The sequence below is a fragment of the Homo sapiens genome, chromosome 2, assembly GCF_000001405.40.
Source record: "Homo sapiens chromosome 2, GRCh38.p14 Primary Assembly".
In the NCBI taxonomy this organism is placed as follows: Eukaryota; Metazoa; Chordata; class Mammalia; order Primates; family Hominidae; genus Homo; species Homo sapiens.
In genome coordinates, this window is record NC_000002.12 from 199,362,990 (window position 1) to 199,390,055 (window position 27,066).

General features: G+C 37.7%; 1 protein-coding gene across 5 annotated transcripts in view; it reads right to left on the minus strand.

Moving 5' to 3' along the window:
- The window catches only part of SATB2 (SATB homeobox 2), a 201,767-nt gene that overhangs the window by 93,490 nt on the left and 81,211 nt on the right, over positions 1-27,066 (minus strand). For all 5 annotated transcript variants that reach the window (NM_001172517.1, XM_005246396.4, XM_047443775.1 and 2 more), the window contains 3 exons: positions 18,705-18,831; positions 17,375-17,498; positions 5,616-5,718 (listed from right to left, as the gene is read on the minus strand). In NM_001172517.1, coding sequence (NP_001165988.1) covers positions 5,616-5,718; positions 17,375-17,498; positions 18,705-18,831 — 354 coding nt within the window. The remainder of the gene's footprint in view (positions 1-5,615; positions 5,719-17,374; positions 17,499-18,704; positions 18,832-27,066) is intronic.

Genomic DNA, 27,066 nt, shown 5'->3' on the forward strand with positions numbered 1-27,066 from the left:
ACAAACTATATTATTAACAAACATTTTTATATCTTTAAACATTTATGAATAAGTATATTCAGCCCAACAAAGCAGTTACAGTACAGCTGGAATGAGCTTCTTAAGATCCATGCAAGGAATTAGTCCATGTCTAAGCTGAGTGCTCAAGACATTCCCCACGCACCATTTTTCCACTTAAACTACCAATAAGCTTTCCATTGGAGGGCCAAGCAAGCATAGGTGATCTATGCATACTATCAGTGACTATCACAATGAAAACACACAAGGCTCTCCTATATGTTGAAAAACTGGTGAGATAAAAGGTGGCTGACAGTAGAAATGATGTTTCTATTTCTATGAATCCGATATTTGTGACGACATGAGTAGAACTGGAGAACGTTGTGCTAAGTGAAACAAGTCAAACACAGAAAGACAAATGCTGCACGTTCTCACTTATATGTGGAATTTAAAACAATTGAATTCATAGAAGTAGAGAGTAGAATGGTGTTTAACAGAGGCTGGGAGGTGGGAGCAGTGAGATGATAATCAAAGGGTACAAAGTCTCAGTGAGGCGAAACAAGTGGTTTTTTTTGAGATCTATTGTACAGCATGGTGAATATAGCTAATAATTGAGTACTGTGCATTTTAATATCACAGAGTAAGTCTCAGATGTTCTCATCACAAAAAATGTCAAATATTTGAGGTGATGAATAGGTTAATTCACTTGATTTAATCATTTCACGTTGTATTAAAAACCATACCATCACTTTGTACCCTGTAAACAGCTATAATTTGTCAGTATAAAATACGTAAGTAAATATGTATACAATATTCAAAGGATTTTATCCTGCCATTACTTTCAACAAGATACAACATAGGCAGAGGGCAGACAAACTTACAACATAGGCAGAAGGCAGACAAACTTCCTTACAGAACACTTCATTTAGATCTGAAGCTGAAAGCAAATTTCTCTCATGACAGAAAAATTAGGTAGACAAAAGTAAGTTACTTTTACCTCATCAGAGTTAAACAACAGCAGAGGCAGAAGGACCAGGAGTTGATTAAAGGCATTGTCCTGACCACTGATACCACCATGGCTAAGCAAGGGCTGCCTTATGGAACCAGGTCAGGGGACATTGATTTCTCTATTCAACTCCAAGGCACCACTTTGTAAATGACACAATCATTTTTGAGTACAAGAGGTGCTTTAAATGTGGTAACATTGTATCATTTCAGCTATAATGATCATAATTACTTATTTCTTTTAATCACAACCCACTTAACCACTTTAGTACAGAGGACTAGTTCAAGGAGTTTAATTTTCATTCAACATCTAATCTTTGTGTTTACCGAAACCCTTCATGGGCTTTGTTTACTGTCTGCCTGCTGGCCTGGACGTTTGATCTTGCAAGACTAGATCAGACAGGGTCAGATAAAATACTGATTAGTAGAATAAACCAGGCTTGGGGAAGTAACACTGGTTTTTAAAATCCTCTTTTCTCCCAGCTTTTTAATATCTGGCAAAAGAAGTTCAAATAAACAAATAAAATTAAGACAACTAACAATCAGACGGTTCTTGGGCAATGACTGAGAAAAGAAAAGTGATGGGGATAATTTTGCACTCTGGCCAAAATACAGGGTTTGGTTAGGTCCACTCATTCTAATGGTATTATTTTATAACACAAATAATTTTATAATAACCACCTGTATTTGTGTAAACTTTCAATGACCCTTCAATTCTTGAGGCATATTAAATAATTGGGATTGACCTCACCAAAGATGACTGCTTATTTTGCTTTTGGTACCAGATGACAAACACTTTAGATATAAAATTATTTTCTTGTAACTTATTAATTAGGACACATTTAAAATATATAAAAGATTCTTTATTAAGGCGTTTTCTTATTTTTATTATATCCCCCCAAAAGTAGATTGCCATGAGAGTAAAACTGATAGTGCTACTACATATATGATTGCCACTTCATTTCATAAAAATGATGGGGAAAGTTCACATCAAGAGTTCAGACAAAAAAAGTTGTGTAAAAAATTAAAATTTTACTAAAATGTGTAGAACTTAGGAAAAAACTACTTGGGTAAATCCCTCATAATCCCAAGACCTTAAAAATAATTTTGGAATAGCATGAATGTTTCTAGGTGTCTATGGAATCTCATGTACAATACTAAAACTCCTAACATTAAACAACTATTAATATTGGTCTTTTTTCTTTGCTTTTAGATAAAATGTACTTTTTTTTTTCTTATACTTCGGAGCTTATGAGCTCTACATTGTAAAATCTGGTCCAGAAGCAATTATGGTATGTGATGATCAGCAATTAAAAAAAAAATGCTGTCTAAACCAACCTACCACCCTACCCTACCTACCCACTCCATTTTCTTCAATGTCAAATATTCCTGGGAAACAGATTCATGGTCTTAGACCTTGAAACCAGAGTATACACACTGTCTCCCTATCTATTCTGAAGTAATGCTCATGTTAACTCAAATATGTCTGTGTCAACCATGATTGTCTTTGAAATTAAAGAAAAAAGGTAAACAGAATGTGCTTTGCTGTGATCACTGGGGAAAATAAAGTTAACATGCTAAGCCAAACCAATTTAGGACTTTCTAAAGAATAAGTGTAAATAGTTTAGCTGAAATAACAACAAATTCAAAAAATGCACATTAAAATGTTTACTTCAAAATTTAGACAATTCCATTTGTATGTAGTTTTTACATCTGTTTTTAATGATATCAAATTATTGATTGTTCATTTTTCTCATATTTATTTCAGCATTGACTATAGAATTTGCAATCTGATCTTTTTTTTGTCCTTCCAGTAGACTTTTATTTTTGCCAGGTTTTAGTCATATTTACTTTGATCTTTCAGAGTATATCATTATTTTACCGTTTATTTATTTCTATGAGAAGAGAAAAAAATTTTGACCTAGGAGATCTATATGTGGCAATTTGTAACAGAATCACATAGCTTATGTTTAGGAAATCATGTTTTTGATTAAGAAGCAACCACTTAGTTCCCACTGTTTTATTAAAACAGACATTAGCAGATAATAGGAAACATATTTAACAATGTAGCCTGCATTTAGTTTGGGACCTCAGTAAGTTGACTTAAGATTTTCTTCTAAGCTGAATAGTGCATAGAAGTGCATGTAAATTGGTAACTTTGAGGCAGAAATGGAAGGTAGGGAGGCTGAGAGGGACATGGAACTCTGACTTCTGGGGTCTCAGAAAAAGCCCTATGGTAGAATTCTGGTTTCACTACTACTGGTTTCCAAATTTGGAATTCATTGCCTTTTTTTCATTTTGAAAGCAGGGACACAACTCTTACAAATCAAATCATTACTTTCCCATGAGAAATGAGTCCTACTAGGTAGAAACTCCCACAGCAACATCTATTCATAGAAAAAGGCTTCTACCAAATAAAATATGCCTGCTTCAGTCCAACACTTCCCTTTTTCTGAGGGTCGAAAGTTAATAAAACGCACTTCTCTGGGTGTTTATTTTCTGTACACCATTATACCTGTCATGAATTCTTTGTTTTTCCTCCCACTCCCTTGGTTGATGAATCAACACCACTTGAACTGTTTTATGGCAGCTTGTGTTTACTTCACACATACCTTAACCTTCCCTTTTCTCCTCCTACTGACACACACACAGACACACACACACTTTTCAACAGCAATGACTAGCTCCATCTCTTTGAATAGTATGTGTACACAGTGTCTGACAGCCTCTTCAGGTGTGGATCCTTGACCAACTGAATGAAATCAAGGTCTCAGTCTGCTTTTACAGCACTTAAAGATTTAATTGTGCATTTACTATCTTTAAAAAAAAAAAAAAAAGATACAGCTTGAAGAATTAAAGCTCCAGGAAAGAAAAAAGAAAAGTAGAAGATATGAGTGTTAATGTGCGAATGCACACACACACACACACACAAACACACACACACATTCTGTAGTGGCAATTCTGAAAACACTAGAGTGAAGAGTTTCCAATCTTTCTGAATCTGGAATTACACTCCAGCCTATTAAAAGAGGACACTCTCTTACTTTCTCTTATAACAGCAAGTAAATGGGATCTAACAAATGACCTTGAAGCTGCATGATTCTTTTGATTTTCAGCCGAAGAGGATATGTCAAAGTACTTTAACAATCCTATTTTAAAAGAAAAACCTGGAGGCAACACTTACAGAAAAGAAACCTTCTGAGCCACACATCGATGTCTTATAATGAGAAGGGGTTATTCATCTTATATTGCACAAGGGTGAATATTAATATGCGAAAGCATTTGCCCAAACCAGGATCTAACGGGTCCTAAGAATTTTAGAGTCTGTTGAAAAGAAATGGATCTTAATTCAATTTTCAGTGTACTTAATTTCTCCTGGGTAGCTCAATATTTTGGCTTGCCTTATAAAACATATATTTAGCATAAAACACTCTCATTCCTTTGTGATCAGAAATGTGCTGCCAATGTTTGTAAACTTCATTTCTTCAAAAGACAACCTTGTCAAAAATCTCCCAAACACTCAATAGCCAACAAGCACTACTTTGACATCCTGTCTCCCCTGAGAAAATCTGCAAGTAGTAAAAGAAACAAATTCATCCTTTACTTTTACTTACCCACCATAAATTGTCATTTGCCCCTCCGATGGGGGCAGAGTAAGCAAGGCTATGAATACATATTATAAAGTGTGATAAATATGTCATACTTATGCAAAACATGGACTGGAAGGACCATCAAAACCAATGTTACAAGAAATTCCCCAAATCCCCTCAGGGACCCTGGTAGGTAACATTTATCTGAATGGAGTGAAAACAAAAGAATTTTTCCACCACTGACATATTTGAAATGGTCCTGACATGTTTAAAAGTCTAGGTGATCTAAATAGCATGCTATTTACTACACAAAGGAACTTTATTTTCAGGCCCAAACATAATTCTACATGTAATATATTACTGCTAGTATGACTACTACTATTAATTATTAGTAGTAGTATACTATTATTTGTCAAGAGGTTACTTTGTGCCAGTATTGTCTTATTTAGTCCTCGCATCTACCCAGTGACCTAAGTACTTTGATGATTTCCCATTTTCAGATGAGGAAATTGAGTCTTGGTGAAGTTAAATAATTTGCTTAAGCTCCCACAGCTAGAATGTAGAAGCTAAAGATTTGAACCCAAGTCTGCCTGAATGCAGAGCCCGTGTTTTCACCACTGCTCTGGAATCGTCGACACAGGAACACAACATCAAACTCCATTTCTGACCAAAGACATCCTGATACCCCAACAGTATCTGTTAATCAGTACCCAAACTATAAGTGCTGATTTAACCTAGAATGACAGCTTTTAAGTTTCCATTCTAAAGGATTTTGGTCTTTGCAGGTATCACTTATGAAAACTATAAACTTAACATATGGTGCTACTAATTTTACTTTTACTTCAAATATCTTCTTAGTTTTAAGGGAGCCAACTAGGATCTCATGACAGGAATATTAAAGATCTCACCTTTGTAAAAAAATTACGTAAATTGTATCTAAAATGAGCATAAATTCCAAACAACCAACAACTCATGAACCTCAGAAACTGAAAACAGGCTTTACAAACAAAAAAGTCAGTTTACCTTTAATCTTCTTGTACTTTTTATACCATCTCCCAAACTCCTGGCACTTGGTTGCTGACACATTGGCATAATATGTGCTATTTACAATGGATGAAATCATACTCTGAAAAAAAAAATTATAGTTATTTTTTCAAAATATGACTACTTCTTTTTAGGGACAAGAAAGAGCACTTTATAACCTGCACTAACCTCTTTTTTCTTTTAAACTTAAAACAGTCACTCTCCTGTAAACTGAACTATTAACATCAAACACGATTACCTGAATTTACCATCCCTTTAATTTATACAATGATAGTGCTTTCTCCAAAAAGCCAACCCTGGGGCAATGTCAACAATGGAGGGGACAGAACATGCAGATTAAATGCAAAGAGGAAGAACAGTTGTGATTTAGGAACCAGAGCAAAAGGTGAGATCAGATGCTCCAGCATCCGTAATCCAAATAATGCCTTTCAGATGTTTCTGTTCCGCTTCCAACTGCAACAAGCTTACACAGCCAAGAATCTGAGAACATCCGTGCTACACACTGCAGAACAACATTTAGGGAAATAAGTTAAATTAATATAATTTATAGAAACGTGTGATTAGAACTTGTGTGAAAATTCACCAAATGAAAAAATTAACAGTGCTATTTTAGAGCAGGGGAAACTAAACACAATACTTGTACTGTGTTTCAATAAAAAATGAACCAAAGCTCAAACTTTCTGAGTGCTTAGGTGCATGATTCTTCCTTGCTCTCATCCTCCTCAGCCCAACTGCTCAGCTGATTTGTGTGTATTAATCATTGGGGTTAAAAGAGAAGTGGAGCATAGCCTGACATAGCACTGAAAAGTTAAAATTATAATTACACACCTTGAATTGAACTTCCTACAGAGATGCAGTTAATACAGTATGTTTGGGCCAACATTTGTGGCAGATGTTAATGTATACCTGAAATGACTGTGTATGTTTTATACATAGATTTTATTTCTTATTTTTTATTTTGTCCTGTGCATAAACAACTCAAGAGATCCAAATGACCTGTGTAAGGTTTTATATCTTGCCTTGAAATCTCATCTTTCTCAAAAAAAGTTAGCCCCAGACATAGAACAGTTCAGAGAAATCTTAGAACTTCTAACGACATTTCTACAAAGTAATAGAGATAAAAAGAGTAACAATAAATCAAGTTATTTAACAGGAGGTTAAAATGCCAGCAGACAGACCTTCATAAACTCCCATTTAAAACAACAGACTCCTCTTTTTTAATCACTATGCAGTACTGGTAGGGGAGGGGTTTCTTAATTCAATTCACAGAAACCTCTTTCGCAGATGGTTAGCCCTCCCCAGTTGCTGATCTAAACATGACAATTCTTTTCTCTGAGGGAAGATAGTAAGGATAACTCTTTTCATCCCAAGGTCTGAACACAGCACTGGGAACTCAAAGAGCTAATATCATCGGAGTGTATCACAGAACCTATGAGGCCTTGTCTCCTGCCTTATAGGATGACCACTGGAATCCTAATCTCCTGGAGACAGTCTTCTGCTTTGCGCTATTAACGACCAAGTACGGCTGTTCCCTAACTAGCTGAGCTAGCTCCCGCTCTGGCTGAGATTCACTCTGTTCCTAGACTGTGAGACCCTTGAGGACAGTGACTATGTCTGTTTCATTTTTTTTTTTTTCTATCTCGTGTCTCACATAGTTCTGATGTGGGATATCTGAGTCACTGAAATTTAACACAGGAAAAGGGACAGAGATGAGATTTAAAAGTGCCAAACTGAAATGTCATAGTAATAAATTTTTTTAACATGAAAGTAGCTTAATAATAGATGCATCAGTCATACTGGTATATGTGAATAACCACAAACGTACTTGTCATCTCTCTATCTTATTTGTATGAATTTATCCTCTGGAAAGGCACAGGATACACAGCCATGGCAGGAGTCAGAGTTAAACTCTGTATTGCCAAATGGTCTAGAAAGTTAACTAAAACGAACAGTGTCTAATTACTGCCTGGCACTGTTCCTCAATTCTTCCTGGCCCATAATACGAGGCCACAAGCCCAGACGACTGCATCATTTTGGCCCCAGATAATCCAAATTCCCCTCACTCTCTACCCTCTCTTTGTCCTTGCTCCTGCTATATCTTCAATTGACCCTGCACAAGGCAGAGTGGCAAGGAAATGAATATCTGGGCTCCTACTGGCTCCGTCGGCAGGTCCTATATTTCATATAACTCATTTGTAAAGGAGATGTTGGCTACCCTGACTCAATTAGATTTGTTTTCTGTCCCAGATAATCATAAATAAGTTGTTACCTCTACTGATCACATAACAAAAACATAAACAGGTTTCAACTATGAACTGAGCAAAAAAAAAAAAAAAAAAAAAGTAGCAAACAAATTTCCTAGATGAGAATCTTTAATCACCAGAAAAGTCTGTTTGAGTTTATGACACATTTTATTCATATCAACTCCCTGCAGGTCTTTATATAGAACTAATACCCAAAATAGTTTTTACTGATAAGAATTGTTATAGTCCATCCTCAGAAGACTTTAAAATCAGAAGACATAAAAATATCTTGGGAATATTTTAAAAGAAAGGCCATGTTATATCTGATTATTCCAGTTTCATGAATATTTTCTAACCCTACATTAGACTGTTAAATTCTCATAATCTGAAGCTAAATCACTAGGCTTCACTAGAATGCTCTGGACACATACCACAAGGTCATCTTGATGTTAGTGTCCATTAAATATCTAGAACATCAACACTTAATTAATGATACATAAAGTTGAAAGGGGCTAACATGAACCCAGCATGTGCTATTACTCTACAGAAAACAATGTTCTCTAAAGGTCCTGGGACACCGAGAATCTATATTTACCGTATTTCAACCACTTTTTATACTTCAACATCACTGAAATAGAGATCCATCTTACAATCAATAGCATCTTAAACCTGATAAGATACAGTTGATGCAGAATGGGATGAGTAATAATTAATGTCTTTCCCACCTACCACCCTGCCAAAAAAGATCTAATTCAATTTTTTGCTTTTTAAAATACATATAATTTTGCAGTTTATGTTGCTCTTTTATGTTTTCCAGTCATTCTAAAGCAACCGCACAGTTGGACTGTTAGGATCCATATCTTTTTGATAAAGGAATAAGAGCTGAGTCAACTTTTTCAATCCAGAATGCAACCAACTCGAGTATCTCTGTTTATACAAAGCAATACTAATACAAATAACCCAGAAAATATGTGTATTGCTATTTTTAACACTTAAACCGAGGAACTATGATTTACTAAGGCTAATATTAAAATGATTTTGCATTTACTAAGCATGTATCGCTTTGCATGGTGGTGGGCTGTGAAAAAGAAAGGATGAGGGTACACGTATAATGGGCAACTGCGGCAGTCCCCACTCAGATACCGAGACACAGCCACAAACACCACCACATAAACAGTGGCCACAGACAAAGCTAATTTATGAATAATATTATATTCTAAGATAAATTAAAATGGTTAAAATGTCTTTCCAACTACAGAAACTTGAAAATTTCTGACTTCATTGTAGTTAATTATGAAATTTTAAGTATAAAGGTTTTTGGATGGGAGATAAAGTATAGGTGTCCTTATTTGTAGTCAATTTGACATTTAGTTGGCCATTAATATCTGGAATTTTTTTTAAATAAGGTATTTCAGAAATCAAACTGTATTAGAATTTTCTTTACTTATTCCAAAGTTTACTAGCAGACTTGAATTTGCTCTAAGCCAAACTGCAAGAGAATAAATTTTATAATATTGGTATTTAATACTTATGATAGCTAGATTGATCTATCTAAAAATAGATTTTCTTTTAGGTTCCTGAAACAACTTTTTAACTCACTTGTTTGTTTTTCAACTAGCCCAGAGAATAGATGTCACATATGATTATAAGCATGGTTCCATTTTCAAACTGAGGCCCCAGAAACTCAGAATAAAAAGCATCTTTCCCAAAGTCAAATAGCACTGGGAGGCACCATGAAGACACTCTGTTAGTGGACCAGTATTTCATGGATCTCTTAAGAAGGGAGACTAACGAATGAATGGAAGGAAACATTCACCACCACCTCCATCAGCGACCCCAAGCTCAACAGCTGATGCTGCAACCAATACTTTAGACAAAACAAAAAACAAGGTAACAACAGCAAAAAAAGGAAAACATGAAGCTGTGATCTCAGGCCCCTTATACAAGTTAACTAAGAAGTTTAGAATCCAAGAAAACTACGGAACCTAAAGGGAATTTAAAACTTAATAGGAAAAAGCAAAATAATAAACACAGGTTAAAATGATTTGTAAGATACACTTAGAAAAACAGAGATCTGAGCATCCCCTTTTCCCAAAATAAAACAAAAGATAAAATAACTGGATATCCTTCACTACAATCTGCTTGGCTTGGTGGGATTTATTTGTTTGAACAGCAGTGTGGTACTAAGAGTAGCTAAGCTGAAAACACATAATACACTTGTTATGAAGAAGAACATTTTTAAAGCAATGTGAAGAATTACATATTCTGTCAGTGAGAATCCCCTGTCTGAGGGAAGAGGAGGGGCATCCCCTAGCCTCCTCTTCTATGTCTTCATGAGGGAGAGAGCAAAGACAGGCAATGAGTGAGTGATATGTGCATTCTTTGCTCATTTTCGGCCTTTTCAATCTGCTTGGTGATATGCTAAATAACATATTAAACATGAGAATATAATGATACTTCAATTAGGTAATGGGAAAAAAACTGATTCTGAGGAATTACTTTGTCATGAAAAAAATTCATTTAATGTCATTTGGCAGCCTTCTACTATCCCTCTCTGTCCCCACTTCTGAGCTATAACATCAGAATTGAAAACTGCTGCCATTTTAAGGGAAAGAAACACTTCCTCTGAACTTTGGAGTATGAAAACACTACATTTGAGAGCTCTTCCCCTAAGCTGTTGCTGAATGGCTTGCTTCTCTAATGTCAGCACCCTCACCTGTGATTGGGGATATTGTCTCCTGCATCAGAGAGTGTAAGGATTCTTCTGTGAGATGATTTGTGTAAAAGGCCTAGCACAAGATGTGGAATCAGCAAATGGCATCTTTCTCCCCACTGTGCAATCATTTCTTATGGTCACTGCAATCCCTTGGTTAGGAATATTTTCAAGCTGTCATTTGTGAGCCTTCTTCAGCATGAGTCCACGAGGTTGGGACACAAACTAAAATAACCTCACATGAAAATAACTAAAACAGACAGTTGGCAACTGGTTAACACAAGACATGATGCATCCCCACTACATACATGAACTTAGGTTAAATTAAACGGACAGTTGGCAACCAGTTACCATGATTCTGGTCCATGCAGTTGATCAGCCACTATATATGATGAGCACATGCTCAATTTGTTTTTTTCTGCTGACCCAATTGGCTGCTTGATTTCACTACTCAATTGTTTTGGCATGTTGTACATATGAGTTAAGTCCAAATGGGTAAGGCTTGCTCAGGATGACAGAAATAATTATCCTACAATCTATTTCTAAAGGCACACTACATGAACGCCATACCATTGTCACACCGGAAATCTAGTAACATCTCTGCAGCTCAATAGCTTTAGTCAGTCATTTTGTTCCTCAAATATTCAGCAACAAAGTCTCAGCCAGCACCATGGGACAGAGCTGCTTCAAAAACATGTCTACACGCTAAGTAAAGTAAACCAGCACAAAATAAATGTTCTATGATTCCACTTACATAAGGTAGGTAGAATAGGCAAATTCACAGAGGCAGAATACAGAATAGAGGCTACCAGGGGTCAGGATGAGAGGGGAATAAGGAATTGTTGCTTAAAGGTTACAGACTTTCCATTTGGAGAGTTGAAAAAGTTCTGGAAAGAGACAGGGGTGATGGTTGCACAACACTGTGAATGTAATTAATGCTACTCAGTTGTAAGCTTAAAAACGTTTAGAATGGCAAACTTCATGTTATGTATATTTTACCATAAGAAAACATGTCTAGAGTCACAGAGAATATGTTTAGGAGATGGAGCACATTGGAAGTTGCATGCACTTGCAAATTGTTCTTTTCATTACAATTTTCAGGCTAGGTGCAATGGCTTATGCCTATAATCCCAGCATTTTGGGAGGCCGAGGCAGGAGGGTCACTTGGGGTCAGGAGTTCAAGACTAGTCTGGCTAACATGGTGAAACCTCATCTCTACTAAAAACACAAAAATTAGCCGGGCATGGTGGTGCTCACCTGTAATGCCAGCTACTTGGGAGGCTGAGCGGGGAGAATTGCTTCTGCCCGGGAGGCAGAGGCTGCAGTGAGCTGAGATCATGCCACTGTACTCCAGCCTGGGCAACCCAGGGAGACTCCGTCGCAAAAAGAAAAAAAAAAAAAACCCCACAGTTTTCAGTTAACAAGACTGTCTCTTTAGTCATCCCATTTGAACATCATGATCACCTATGAGATGCACAAGGCAGGTACTGGTACCTCTACTTATTTAAATGGGTCAAAACCCTGAGCACCTGGGGTTTTGCAATCAAAAGCCGACCTTAGGTATTTCAACTCTTCCTCAAGTAAGAATAAGTAAGCCACAGAAAGATGCAATCATAAGGTTTTCAAATTGGAACAGCTAAGGACTATTTAATAAGGGAGGACGATGCCTAAGGTCTGCTAAATTAGGATGCTCAGGACAGCCAGTGGCAGAGGAAAGAGGCTGCAAGTGGTTACTCACAGAGACATCAGAGGAAAAGGAAGAGGTGCCAGCACTTAAACACACTTTGAAAGGTGAAATCAAAAATAAATACGCAGACACACAACCACAATCTGTACTTTCCAAGCATCTGGCCAGACAGAGAACGGCTAAATCATTACTTCCCTGTTTTAAATATATATATGCCTCAGGCTACAATTGTGGCACTTTTATGGACTTCTCCATACCTTTCTTCCACCTTCAAAACTGCTCTTTTGAACTTCAGACCACTGGGGTGTTCAAGAAAGTATGAACTATCCACTGAATCATTCCCTTTGTAATTGCCAAACTCAAGTGAAGAATCACCTAAAATGGTTTGGCTTAGGGGTAATAAGGAAGAATTATTTCAATAACAGGAATCTTTTACTCATGAGTTGAGTCTATTTTTGAAAAACCCAACAAGCCACCTTTCTCACCTAAGGTGAGTAGTACTGGATGCCTCACTCTCTTCTTCCTATATTGAAAGGGTTTTAGTTCCTCCCTCAGATTCACTGTTATATCCCCAGCCCATCGCAAAGTGCCTGATTCTTAATCAGGACTCCAGGAATGCTGGTGGAAATATACTGTTGAATTACTGTTTCACCTTGCTTAGAACAAAAATGCATTCTTTTTTACTTTATACAGGCTGAACTATAAAAACTGCATGCATCTGTTCTATGACAACTACCAACAAAATAGGCGCGCTTATCTCCACACTAAATTACAATCTAGCTATGCAATTTAAGTGAATAATCTGGAATGTTTAAGGATAATGGCTGTAGGATGAATGCCAGGGTCCACATTACATATCCATGATAGCTGAAAAGAGCTATCCCAGTGAGATTTTCCATAATCACACAACATATCAGAAGCCTAAATCAAATCTCACCCAAATCTAAACAACAGATATGAGCCCCTGTTTAACCGAAATGTGCTGGGCATCAATCACCAAATTACTCTATTCACTGTTTCTAGTTCAAAATGTTTTGGAACTGCCAAGAACACTGTAATAATAATAAAACTTTACATACTAATAAAACTATACTTTATGAAACATTTTTAAACTTAATTCATTAAGCACATCAGAGAATTGGTTAACTGAGAGTGGTACTCCTCCTGTCATGGGACCTTTGGCAACATCTGGAGACATTTTGGTTGTCACAACTGGGGGAAGGGGTATAGTGGCATGCTAGTGGCATCTAGTGGGTAATGGACGGGGATGCTGCAAGGCACAGGACAGCCCCCCACCACAAAGAATTATCCTGCTAAAAGGTTAAATTCCTGCATTATAGTAACAGCTACATACAAAATATATATTATGCTGAATGCTGTGGACACAAAGATCAATAAGAGATGGCCTCTGTTATTGTGGACAGTCCATCTAGTGATGGAAACTGACAGGTAACAATGACAACAGGCTGAGATAAGTGCTGTGACAGGGTTATTTACAAAGGCTACTAAGAGCAGAAGTAGCAACTACTTCAACCAGGAGGTTGAGGCACTTCACTAGCAGTGTCTTTCCAGCTGGAATCTGAAAGATAATTTCATCAAGTAGAAAAGAATAGTGCATTCTAGCCAGGTGAAATCATGCATGCAAAAGCAAGCAAGTGTCAAACTGAAGGACTCTAGAGTCACCAGGATTGTGTGCAGGGGCTTTCAAAGCCAGAGATTAACAAGGTACATCTCCCTAAAGAACCAATCTCATGTGGAGAGAAGGAGATTACTAACTTAACAGGCAAAATGATTTTATGCCATTTTAAAAATATTTAAAACACAGGGGCCAGGAGCAGTGGCTCACGCCTATAATCCCAGCACTTTGGGAGGCTGAGGCAGATGGATCATGAGGTCAGAAGATCGAGACCATCCTGGCTAACATGGTGAAATCACGTCTCTACTAAAAATACAAAAAAAAAATACCCAGGCGTGGTGGCACATGCCTGTGGTCCCAGCTACTCAGAAGGCTGACGCGGGAGAATCGCTTGAACAGGGAGGCGGCAGTTGCACTGAGCTGAGATCGTGCCACTACACTTCAGCCTGGGTGACAGAGCGAAATTCTGTCTTAAAAACAAACAAACAAACAAACAAAAAACAACAAAACAGGTATATGGACTAGAATATAAACTTGGCATTAAATTTTAAGATAATACAGAAGGTGGCCTTGTTAGATTTTTAATGCCACACTAGTTAGGTTGCTCCCACTCTCAAGAGATATTTTGAGCAATGGTAAACATTTCAAAATAATTAATTTCATGTGTTTGGAATATAGAATGAGTGCAGGAAGAGGGAAGAAGGTAGCTCTAGTGAAATATAAGGCTGAACAGTGTCATCTTGATGGTCTTTATGATATGGAGTCCGTACTTCCTACAGGGTGGGTAGGGGGAGTGACTGAGGAATTATAAACAAGGAACACAGGAGAATCAGGTGGCAGGAGAAAAGTCATGAGGCAAGAAGACCTGAAATATTTTAGATGACAGATGATGAAAGAATGAACAAGGCAGTGGCACAAGGGAAAAAGATTTTAGATGGAGAAGTGATGGAACCCATAGGATCAAACAGAAGGGTGAGGGAGAAGAAACTGTTTAGGTCAGACAACTACGTGAGCAAACCATGAGAGCAGAGAGTGGAAGGGGAAAGAGGTTTTTATGATAGGGTTAAAGATGATCTCATTTGAACGTCAAGACAACCCTCCGAACTATGTGAAACATGCAAATACAATGATGCCCAGCTTATAGAAGAGTTTAACGAGGCCCTGAGAAGTGAACAGACTTGCCCAGGATCACATATCTGGCATAAAAGAACTGAGATTAGAACCCAGGGCTCTTGGCTCCTGATCTGGATTCTCCTCACTCATGTTGCCTCTCTAGTCATATCTACAATTATAACCAAACATGATTTTCATGATACAACAGTTTGGACCAAACTTCCACATGCCTCAGAAGCCCTGGATAAATTTCTGAATTGGTAATATCAAGTTAGAGGTTTGTACACTTCCACACAAAGCCCATTTCGACTTCCATGTGAATGCAAGAGAAAATTAATTGTGAATGATTGTGAAATTTGGGAAAAATTATTGACAGCTTTTCCTAACTTGTTCTTTGTCCAGTTCCTTTGTATCACCAGTATAATCAAAATATGCATTTTATAACTTTGTATGTAACAAGGCTTTAACATCTACATACATACCTACAGGTAGGTATTAAAATGGCCTCCATGAAAAGTCCTAAACATAAGGTCAGAATAATGTCCTTTTCTATCTAGCTGCCTATACGTGAATGCATGCCTTCTTGATTTTTTTCGAGGCAAAAATATTAATAGCATACTTTGCTTCAGAGGATCCAAATTCCAAAACACCCTCAAAGGCACACACACACACATTCAGTTCACATCATATCTCAATAATAATAGCTGATACTGTTTATGGTGCATCATTGCATGCCAGGCATTAGGCCAAGCATTTTATGTAATTTCCAATCATTTAATCCTCTTTATATAACTCAGAACCATTACTACTCAGTTTTACTAACCAAACAAGGGGGGCTCATAAAGGTAAGGTTATAGAGGCTTGTCAACCAGGACATGAATCCAGCCCTGATTCCAGGATACATGCTCTTACCCAATAGCCTTCCTATCTTCCAGAGACTCCCTTACCCTGGAACAAAGCTCATGGCACAGCAAATTTCTGTAATAGGTTTCTCATTATTTTCCCTTCAACTTAACAGACATTGTCTTAAATCATGTGTAGCAGCTCACACCAGGAAACAGATTTCCATTCAAAGCTTTAGATGATTTGTCAACCTGGGTTCATTTCTACAGCAGCCCCAATCCACCATAGGAAAAATATTATCTCATCAGTAGAAAAAAATGAGTCCCAGCCCATGAACACAAATGGAAAAGGCAGCCCTTTCCTCCACTGCTCTTCTTTTGATCCTCTCAATCTCATTTTCATGGTTTGTATTAGTTTATGGTGCGTTCACTAAAAAACAGAGTATCACTTTTCCTCATGATGCATTTTCTTCTTGTGAATTCACTACAAAACCTCTACAAATGTATATGATGTAAAGATCATCTCTCTACACCAGACAGGCAAAAGGCCCAATAAATCATGCATAGATGGATTTAGCATGGCTGACTCATCCAGCTGACCAAATAAAACAACAATCTGGTGCATCCACTTTGAAACAGGGGGGTGGGGAGTAGCATCTCAGCCTGCCACTTAGCCAGCTAGTATGCTTAGGCAGTGAATGTAAGTGCTTCTCTAAGCTCCTGTTTCTTGATCTATAAAATGGAGACACTGGTCCCTATCTCCGATGAAATATGTGAGAAGTTAATGACTGTATATGTAAAACGTCTATTTTCTTTTCTTTTCTTTTTTTTTTTTTTTTTTTTAGAGACAGGGTCTCGCTATCTTGCTATGTTGCCCAGGCTGGTCTCGAACTCCAAGGCTCAAGGAATCCTCTGGCCTCGGCCTCCCAAAGTGCTAGGATTACAGGTGTGAGCCACCATGCCTGGCCCGTATACGTAAATTGTTTTAATACTCTCTCCTTACCCAGTCTCAATAAATGCTAATTTTTTTTTTTTTAAGAACCACCCAGGGTCTCACTCTGTCACCCAGGCTAGAGTACAGTGGTGTGATCTTGGCTGACTGCAATCTCCACCTCCCAGTCTGAAGCAATCCTCCCAGCTCAGCCTCCTGAGTAGCTGGGACTACAGGCACATGTCACCACGCCCAGCTAACTTTTGTATTCTTTGTAGAGATGGGGTTTCGCCATGTTACCCAGGCTGGTTTCAAACTCCTGAGCTCAAGCAATCAGCCTGCCTCAGCCTCCCAAAGTGCTGGGACTGCAGGCATGAGCTACCCCATGCCCGGTTAATAAGCTATAACTTCTATTCTACAACCAGAAGCAACATAATCTTTTACACCTCAAATGCAGTTTAAGTCTATAAATAAAAGACAGAGAAGACAGTTGTTTAAGCAGAAGGAACCCCCTGATAGAGAGTCTACCAATGGCTTCTTCTGTTTCCCAGACCCCCACCTGAAGATACTGACCTGGGAGAGAGGGCATTCTTTGGCTAATGTGCTCTGGTTCATCTCTTTGAGCAGTTCCTTTAAGGCATTGCGGACTGTGGCATGGTTCCACTGCTCCGCAGGCAAGTCTTCCAACTTTGAACAACTGCAAAACAGAGCAATAATGAACAATACACAAACCTCAACCAGGGTCCCTGACTGAAGAGGAGACACTGCAGCAGCCATTCTTGGGTCTTGTGGGAGCTTCAGAAGAAATGCTAAAGAATGGGGTCTAAGTGAAGGAAGGGAAGTAAAACTGCTTCTCCAAGACTTTGCGAGGGCCCAAGGGGTCTCTTTTGAGTTTGTCATCCCACTCATCCAAGAAAAATAGTCATTTGCAATACAAGAGATGCTATTTTTATAAAATATGATTTTTCCAATGTGCTGGTGGAAATGGCATGGCAGTGTGGTTATAAACTTCCCCAATACAAATGTAATTATTGTGCATGCCTAAGGTTAACTGTAAACAAACATCCCCTGTCAGATTTGCAGTTGGAAGGCCCACCCTCACCCTCATAGAATGGCTCAGAGTTACTCTCTGAACCAAAAAATGACTTTTCAGATCCTCACCCATTCATAGACACAGATGGGAATGCTGGGGGTCCATATTTAAAGTATAAATTGCCCAAAAGGGGAAAATTCAAAACACTTACACTAAAGGACAACACTCCTTAAATCACACCTATCAGGCACTTTACAATAAAAGACTGCAAAGAACCTCCAGTTCTTTAGAGAGATATCTTGTTCCAGATGCCATATTTGAAAAAATAAAGAAATCATCCCCAGAATCTCTGCAGGCCACAAAGTGTGTTTTTGTTTGTTTGTTTGTTTGTTTGTTTTGATGTGGCCCTTGGAAAGGGAAGAAAAAGATCTCCTATGTCAGGACATTCTTGGTAAACCTCCTACAAGAACAAAACTCTCCCCTCATAACACAAATGTGAAAACAGCAGAGGTGTTTATTCTTCAAATACTATGTGCTACACATTTAAGCAGGCCTAGAGGACCCATTGAATAAGGGGCTGTGTAAAGCTACTCCTAAGGGCTATAGATTTTTAATGATTTGTCAAGCCGCCCCTAGGTTACCACTTCACTGCTTCTGAAAACAAAGCATAAAGTAGTTGGAATGTGACTATAAAGACACCTGGGGAAGGGCCACCCTTCTCCTTCTCTCCTTCTTTCCCTCTCTCTCCTTCTTTTCATTTTGTCCAATGTCCAGAAATTAATAGACAGGACATGCTGATCTTTGCAGTGAATCTATGATTGACGGAGCAGCTCTGACAGTAAGGAAAAGCAGATGTTCAGAAACACCCACCTTTGTAATTGGATTTTCAACGTCACAACATGATAGACATCTTGTAGCATGTCGGCCACTGTCGCGTCGGGTGCATCTGTCACATAACTGAGGGGGAGAGGGTTCCACCTTCCCAGCTTGATTATTCCTGCACAGGGAAGAAAAACATAATAAACACATATCTGCTATTTATTAAACCTTCCCATTGTTTGTTCAATGTTAAGAAGGTCATTCAATCATCAACATCCAAGGCCCACTCAGATATTTTACAACCCAGTGCAATAAGCTATTTCTTTCTGGCCGACAATTGAGTTAGTTAACTATACAGGAAGATGGGAAGGAAAGAATGAGGTTTAATCACAGACAATCAGTTCTTTTATGTTTTCCTGTTTCTTAAATTACTTAGAAAACCATACGGATACTTCCTTCCCCCCAGAATTGTTTCACATTCTAACTTAAGGCTGATGCTAAATATACAGGACTGCTGATTTCATAGACAAAAAAAAAAGTAAGCCTTAAGTAAATATAAGATTCAGTTTTGAATTGTACAAGAAAATTCCTGTGTGTGGGCTCAGCACGCAGTTACATCCTGACTGTGGTGCGATTCCCAGTGCGAACAGCATTTGGAGCTCATGAAGCAGTTAGAGTTCGCTCCCATATCTGCGTTTCAGCAGGCAGTGGGGTTGCTTTCCCAGGCCAAATGCAATACCACGGTGATTGACCACAGATCAGAAATAGCAAAGATGCCCTCAAGTTCCTTTCTTTTTTTTATTCCTCAGCTCTTTTGACAGTGACAATAGTACTTTTTCCCTGTGGATTTCCTGCTGCATATGGTAAACATGCATAACAATGAAAAAATAATAAAAATCCTTTTTAAGCTTGGGCTACGTAGAACAGCAATTTTAGGAATACCCTTGTTAGAGGAAGATTCATGGGATGGTTTCAGCAACATATGGTGAAAATGCTAACTTATTCATAAGATAGGCCCATTTTATCTGGTACACAGGGCACACGTAACATTGATGAAGAAAAATAGAGAAACCCATTTCACATATGACACAGGGTAACAAAAATTTTATTTGTAGGCGATGAAAAATCCCATGTCTCCAGGATGTCAGAAATTGCCACACATAAAAAGCAGTGATGCTTTAGTGATAAAAGAAAAACAGCATTTTTATTTTTGACAATACAGGTGAGTCCAACTACACTGTTCTTTAAAAAAATATATTATCATCAAAGAGAGAAAACACCTGTGCACCCAAGTGAACTTTTAAGAGCCTCACAAAATGACAGCTATGGGGCAAAATTCCAGCAATAGGAAATGGACTTTCTGGTCAGGGCACGTCCTGTCCAAGATGAAATAAATGAATGCGCAATGCTTGACATAATGCTTGAAAACAGGGAATAAACAGAACAAAAATATTAAAATGATACACTGTTTCAGTATTAAGATTTAACAATCTGGTGCTGAATATGCTGCAGTATAAATAGTGCCTGGACTCAGATCCAATAAAGTAACACAGCTCTCATTCATAGTACCGTATGTCTCCAGTTCTGGCTCCTTAAGTCATATTTCACTTGCCAAGAAAAGCTGTTTTCTTGCGGGGATAGTTTTCTTAACATTCTCTCTCATGACAATGAAAAGTGCACAGCACACAGCATGTAGTAGTCATGAAATGAACATCCAGGGCCCACTGGACAGCCACCCACGAGAGAGTGGGTCTGCTTCCTTGCTTCTTTTACTCCTGACATTTGCAAATACTAAAAAGAAACCATGTAACATGTCTAACATATTTCCTTTTTAAAAAATCATTCTACAATTTTAAATTCCTTTCAAAAGTCATTACCATGATCACCCATAAGTTGAATATAAATTGGCTGTGTTCTAAAGTCACACAGATAATATATGACAGAATGGGGGGGAATGAAGTTGACAGTTGTGCACTATGATAGGCAAGTAAAAGAAGCAGATTTTGTGGGTCATTTTGGTTACTAAGACTAAGCAAGTAATATAAAAAAAAGGACCCTACAAGCTTCAACGCACAACTCTACAAGAGATTCATTCAAGCTGTTGTGGTGTCAGTAGTTGATTCCTTTTTATTGTAAAGAAGCATTCCATTGTAAGAATACACCACACTACAGCCAGACACAACAGAATATATCTGTATGATTTCATTTATATGAAATACAAGAACAGGCAAGACTAATCTAATGGGGATAGAAGTCAGAGGGACAGAAAGGGGCATTACATAGGCAGGGACATATGGGGATTTTCTTGTTTGGCATGGTGGTTGCATGGTTATACAAATTGTCAAAATTTATCAAACTGATCACTTAATATGCATACATTTTTGTATGTAAATTATACCTCAATTTTTTAGAGAGGGGAGGGAGAGAAATCTCTACAGGAAATAATAGACAACTCATTCTACTGGAAATAGAATCTCCATATAGGTAAATTCTTACCCCACCTTGATGAGCCGGAAGAAGACTTGTTTGGGCTGGAATTAGACACACACAGGTGTTTTAACAACACTTAATACCTCCACATAGAGCAGCTGCTACAGTTTGGTTTCTATATCTTGGAAGAGAGCTGTTGGCACATGCTATTTTCCCAGGCAATGGGAAGTGTGTGCTTTTCCTTTTTTGCACCTTATTAACTAACTTGCACAGTCCTAGAAGTCATGGTCTCTGCACAGCTATTTACCAGGGTCTGCAGGTACAAGATCTGCTAGGAGAGCTATGGCCAGAAGCCCACTCTACTCCAGCCAGGTAGAGGCTTGGAGTAACTCTTAATGAGCCTTTCCTCCAAACAGGGTCTCTGTCTAACGTACTGTGTTAATCCTCTTTGCAAATACATTCTTTAGAACAGTCCTCCTTCCCTGATATAAAATAGACAAAAATATTACTTGGAATAGTAGTCAAGTGTTAATTGAGGAAATCAAATTGGGAAGCAGTATACCATAGTGACTAAGAATGCAGGCTTCCAAGTTAAATTGCCTCTGTTCACATCCTGGCTCTGTCACCTACTAATTATGTAACCCTACCAAGTTACTTAAAATTCTCCATACCTCAATCCTCTCATCTGTAAACTGGAACAATAAAAGTACTGATCTTACAAGAATACTGTGCAGATTAAATGTAAAAATTATTAAAGAGCATGAATATAATTTAATCTCAAAAATTTAGTCATTCTTTTGACCTTTTTAATGTGTCTTAAAGAGAAGATATAGTCAGTTTATTTCAAAATACATTGACTCAAAAGATTTTTGATGATTATATTAGCTTTCAGTCATGTGTCTATAAAAGACTTTTGTTTTAAATCACAAAGGAGGAGTATACATCAATGTGTCCCATCTTCTATTCCCACCACTTCCCCATTCATTTCTTCCATCCTTGCTCCTCAGTGGCGTCTTTCCTTTGACCTGTAAGTAGATTCAGATCTCCCCTACTTTTTTGTTTGTTTGTTTGTTTGTTTCTGACACAGGGTCTGGCTCTGTCACCCAAGCTGAAGTGTACTGGTGAGATCTCAGCTCACTGCAACCTCTGCCTCCCAGGCTCAAGCTAGCCTCCCACATCAGCCTCCCAAGTAGTTGGGACTACAGGTATATGCCACCACACCTGGCTAAGTTTTGTATTTTTATAGAGACAGGGTTTCACCATGTTGGCCAGGCTGGTCTCCAACTCCTGGGCTCAAGCGATCTATCTGCCCACCTCAGCCTTCCAAAGTGCTGAGATTACAGGCATGAGCCACTGCACCTAGCCCTCCCCTACTTTAAAACAAACAAAAACACTATGACAATCTCTCTGTTCCCTCAGTCTCTTATTTTCTGCACCACCAAATCTAGTATAGGTGTACCTCCAATTTCTCCATCAGTTCTTTACCCCTGAATATCTAGTGTCAACTCCCTCCATGAGGAAATGGAGATTCAGAAGGGATGGGTTATCTTAAGTAGCCTAGGTAATATTACTAGCAAGTAGCAGAGCTCAGATTCACTTCAAAGACCAGGCTCTCACTCTTCTTGTTATCACACTGGCTCAAGTGAGAGGCAAACTAGAAGAAAAGACTGGTTCCAAGTTTTGGGAGGCCGTGAATGCCTGACTCAGTAGCACACTGTATAGGTCAAAGGTTAGGAGTAAGGTCTGGAGTCAAAGATGAGTTTACACCCAGCCTCCTCTGCTTGTCACCTGTGAGACTTTGGGCAAATTGTTTAGTCTTTCCATGTGTCCATTTCCATATCTGTAAAATGGGGATACGAACAATGCCTACCCTTTAGGGTTATCATGAGACTTTACATGAAAAGGAGACTCTAGCACTGGGACTGCTACATAAGTGCTCCATAAAACTTAAGGGACAATAGATCCTTGTAAGTTTCTTAGTGTACACATAACAACAATAAAGCAAAACTTCCAGAGATTAATTTATACAAGTTGAGTATTCCTTATCCAAAATCCTTGGAGAACCAGAAGCAATTCATATTTCTGATTTTTTCAGATTTTGAGATAGTTGCATTATACCTACCAGGTAGGCATCCCAAATCCAAAAATTCAAAATCTGAAATGCTCGAATGAGCATTTCCTTTGAGCACCATGTTGACACTCAAAAGATCTCAGATTTTGGAACATTTCAGATTTCAGATTTTCAGATTTGAGATGCTCAACCGGTACTGGACTGCAGGTGGATTAAAAACAGCGCTCATTCCAAGGGGAGAAAAAAGAACCGAAATAATTCAGGTAGGTATGTCTAGTTACAATTACAACAGCCTCTTCCTGGCTTCTAAGGAGGGATGCAGACCACACCAATCACTCCAGTGTAGTGAACAAGGACAAAGAAGCAAGAACAAGTTATGTGGCCATTGAGGATAATATTGCAGCACTAGAGAAATGTCAATAATGATGGCATAACTTAAGTATACAGATGTTATTCCCAACATTCACATTCTATAAGTTTTGTAACCCCAATTTGAAAAATGAGAAAAACTAGTGATGATTAAATTAGGAAATATTTCATACACGTGCGCAAGCGCGCGCGCGCGCGCGCGCGCACACACACACACACACACACACACACACACACACACACACACACACACACCTTTGAGTTCAGCCAGGAACATAGTAGATGCTAAATGCATGGCAATTTCCATTTTTTCTCTGAAAATTTATCACACTCTCACTCTGTCTAGAGTACTGATCCCCAATATTCACTTCTAGAAACTGTCTATATTATTGCTGAAATTCTGCCATGGGAATAATTCCAACCCAGATAACCCACCTGAAGTAATCCTTTCTCTATAACACGGTACAATAAATATTCTTGGTTGGTTTGTATACCTTATAAAAAACCTACTTATTCACAATATCCCTTTATGTTACTTTACAGTTTGCACAGTGTTTTATACAACCATTAGTTTATCCTTATGAAAACAGCCTGGACTCAGCATTCTACCTGGAAGTAAGCTGAAGATCAAAGAATGACTTTTCAAGGACATAAGTGGATGAAAACCAGGAATAAAACCTAGGCTTCATTTTGCAAGTTTTTGAACTACTGGGCCAATATCCTTTCTGCTCAGCTCTGCTACCGATGCCCTGAGGATGTACCCACGTCCAAGCGCCCAACCACACAAATGGGCCCCTGGAGAGGAGGGCCAGAGCACGTCCACAGTCACACATCAGGCAGTGTCTGGACATTTAATGTTAAACCAAGGAATAAATGAGACCAATGAGCAAACAGGTGACATCACAGTCCCAGAAGTCTGAAGAGCCAGTTAAACTTGGGACTTCTCTGGAAAAAACAGTTTCCCACAACAGTGCCATTTCAGACATAAACATTGTTTTCCAATCATCTTTATTATTTACAAGGAATTTGTCATCTGCAAACATTTAGAAAATGCTTGGTGTTGAAGACTATTACAGATGCTGTTATAAGGTCTTTGAGTCACAAATTATGGGCCTTTATTTTGGGGTTGAAATTCATACAAATGTTAACATGATTGAATTGAGCACAGTATGAATAAAACCGTCTATATCCAGACAAATCTGTTCACTAAAATATAGAGTACCAATCTACTCAATGTGTAATGTGTACAGACCAAATAACAAAATGCAATTGTAGGTAAATTTCCCATTAGTGATATAAAATTAGATTGGGAATGGAGGCAATTTTTGTCTAAAATTAAAAAGATGCAATAATGGAAACCAGTTTTTTATTTTCTCAATGCAGTATTCTGCCAGAGTTAAAGAGCTGACATTTCACCAAAAGAAATATCAATAGTTGTTTGTGTTCATGTTTTTGGTATTTATCTCAAAGAAAACAGTTACTATTCTCAGTAAATGCATAATTCATATTTTTAGTATCATTTGCCTCTAATTATATAAAAACAAAAGAGTGGTGATAATACACATTATAGTCGATCAATATTTGATTCAAGCCTTTAGAAAGTCAATCATGTCTGAGGATAAAATAAAATGTGATAATACATTATAATCAATGAGCCATTAGAAGTGTTTGTATTAAGCATGAAGCATTCATTCAACAACTTTTTTCTTGTGTCCCTCCAACATAAGTCACTAAGATGCAAAGATAACCTCAATATATACTGTCCCTGTAATTATGGAGCTCACAATTGAGCAGAGAAGCTTATTATTGCTAAACACATAGCTAAGTGAAACCATTCCTAAAATAAGCCAAGATGATAGCTTTTACCCCTGTACCTTAAATATGAGAAATATTTACTTCATGAAGGCCTACAACAGGCTGCCTGTGAAGTACATGAGAACAGTTCTCACAGTTTGCAGTGGCATGTAGATAGATGCTGATAAAATAGATATATATTGGGTATACTGCACAATAAAGCCTACAGTTCAATCTGTGAAACAGATATAAGCAACCCAGCAAGATATCCAGCAGTATTCTTATAATTCAGCTGGATGGATAATTTTCTTTTATTCCAGGTGCATTTTAACATTAATTTTTAAAGCAAAATGAAAACTCAACCTGAGAAAAAAAAATGAGACATTAGCTTTAATATCCAAAGGCTGGGGTTTGTATATCTCATAACTCCCTGGAAAAGATCTCCACAAAAGAGTGTCAATAAAAACCCCAGCCTTAGAAGAACTAAGCCTTGGGGCTTCTGGTTCTCGGTATTATTTCCACAATACCAACTGCTGATGAGGCTCCTTGTAAAAATAGGAGAACTCATGACATTGATTGCATCTGTTTATCTTCCTCAGAGTGGTTGTGTTCATATGCTATAGCATATAATTTTCTGTTGTTCAGCTATGCTTTGTTAAAGAAATTAAAAACTGTCTATCCTATATAATAAGAACATAGAATTATTTATCCATAAATCAGTTCACAGGAAATCACTACCCAGCAGTATATAATAATTCAGCCTGTGTTTCTAACCTGTGGCCTGACTGTGGTATATCATCAAATTGTAGCAGCAAAAAGACATAAATTGTAGTTATTATTGCTAAAGCTGTGGTGGGAATGACTTTTCAATGAGGAAAAAGAAAAAAAGGTGAAACAAAAATGGTTTTTGAAGTATACATATTTTCCTTTTTAATGCATAGTTTAGCAGTGCCCCAGTACAACTTGTTGGAATAAACCTAACTCTTCTACACCTTCTGCTTTGATTTTAAGGACTCTCTCTATATATATTTCAACTGGCTTGCATTGGGGTAAAAGTAAGTGGAAAATGAAACAGCATTTTTGAGTCATCTTACATTATTCAAGTGCCTTTATAACTTACACAAATTAATGAAACCTCACAACATACTTGTCTGGGAGCCTACAATGGATTTAATCCTGCATTTATGACAATACAAAAGGAAATGCCAAACAAAAATAAATAATTCAATGATTCAAAATAAACACTGAACATATACTGTCATATGAATTTATCTAAAAATCAAGAGATGCAAGTGTGTGAGCACACACACACACAATGCACTGTTTCCCATCCCCACAGATAACTTCTCTGTTTGCAAGAATTCGGTAACACTGACAAACACAAACAAAGTAGGTTTTACCTTTAAAAATACTAACCTGTATATTTAAATCATATTTCTATCTTTCAGAGGAAATTATCAAGAAGATTATTATTTAAAAATTAAAATTAATTTTAGAGTACTTTCTGAATAAACTATAGTGATACAGCTGTCTGTCACACTTTTTTTTTAAGCTGACTACCCCCTTACACTACAGAAACATTCTATTTTAGAAATATATACAGTACCATTTGGTGCCTTGTAATTCTATACATGGCTTTTACAATTTTGCGGCATAAAGATTTTGTCTAATGTAATAGATGCTGCTTCACATTTGGGAAATGTTATGTTACAACCCTGACTTTTATTAGATTATTTAATATAAGCACTA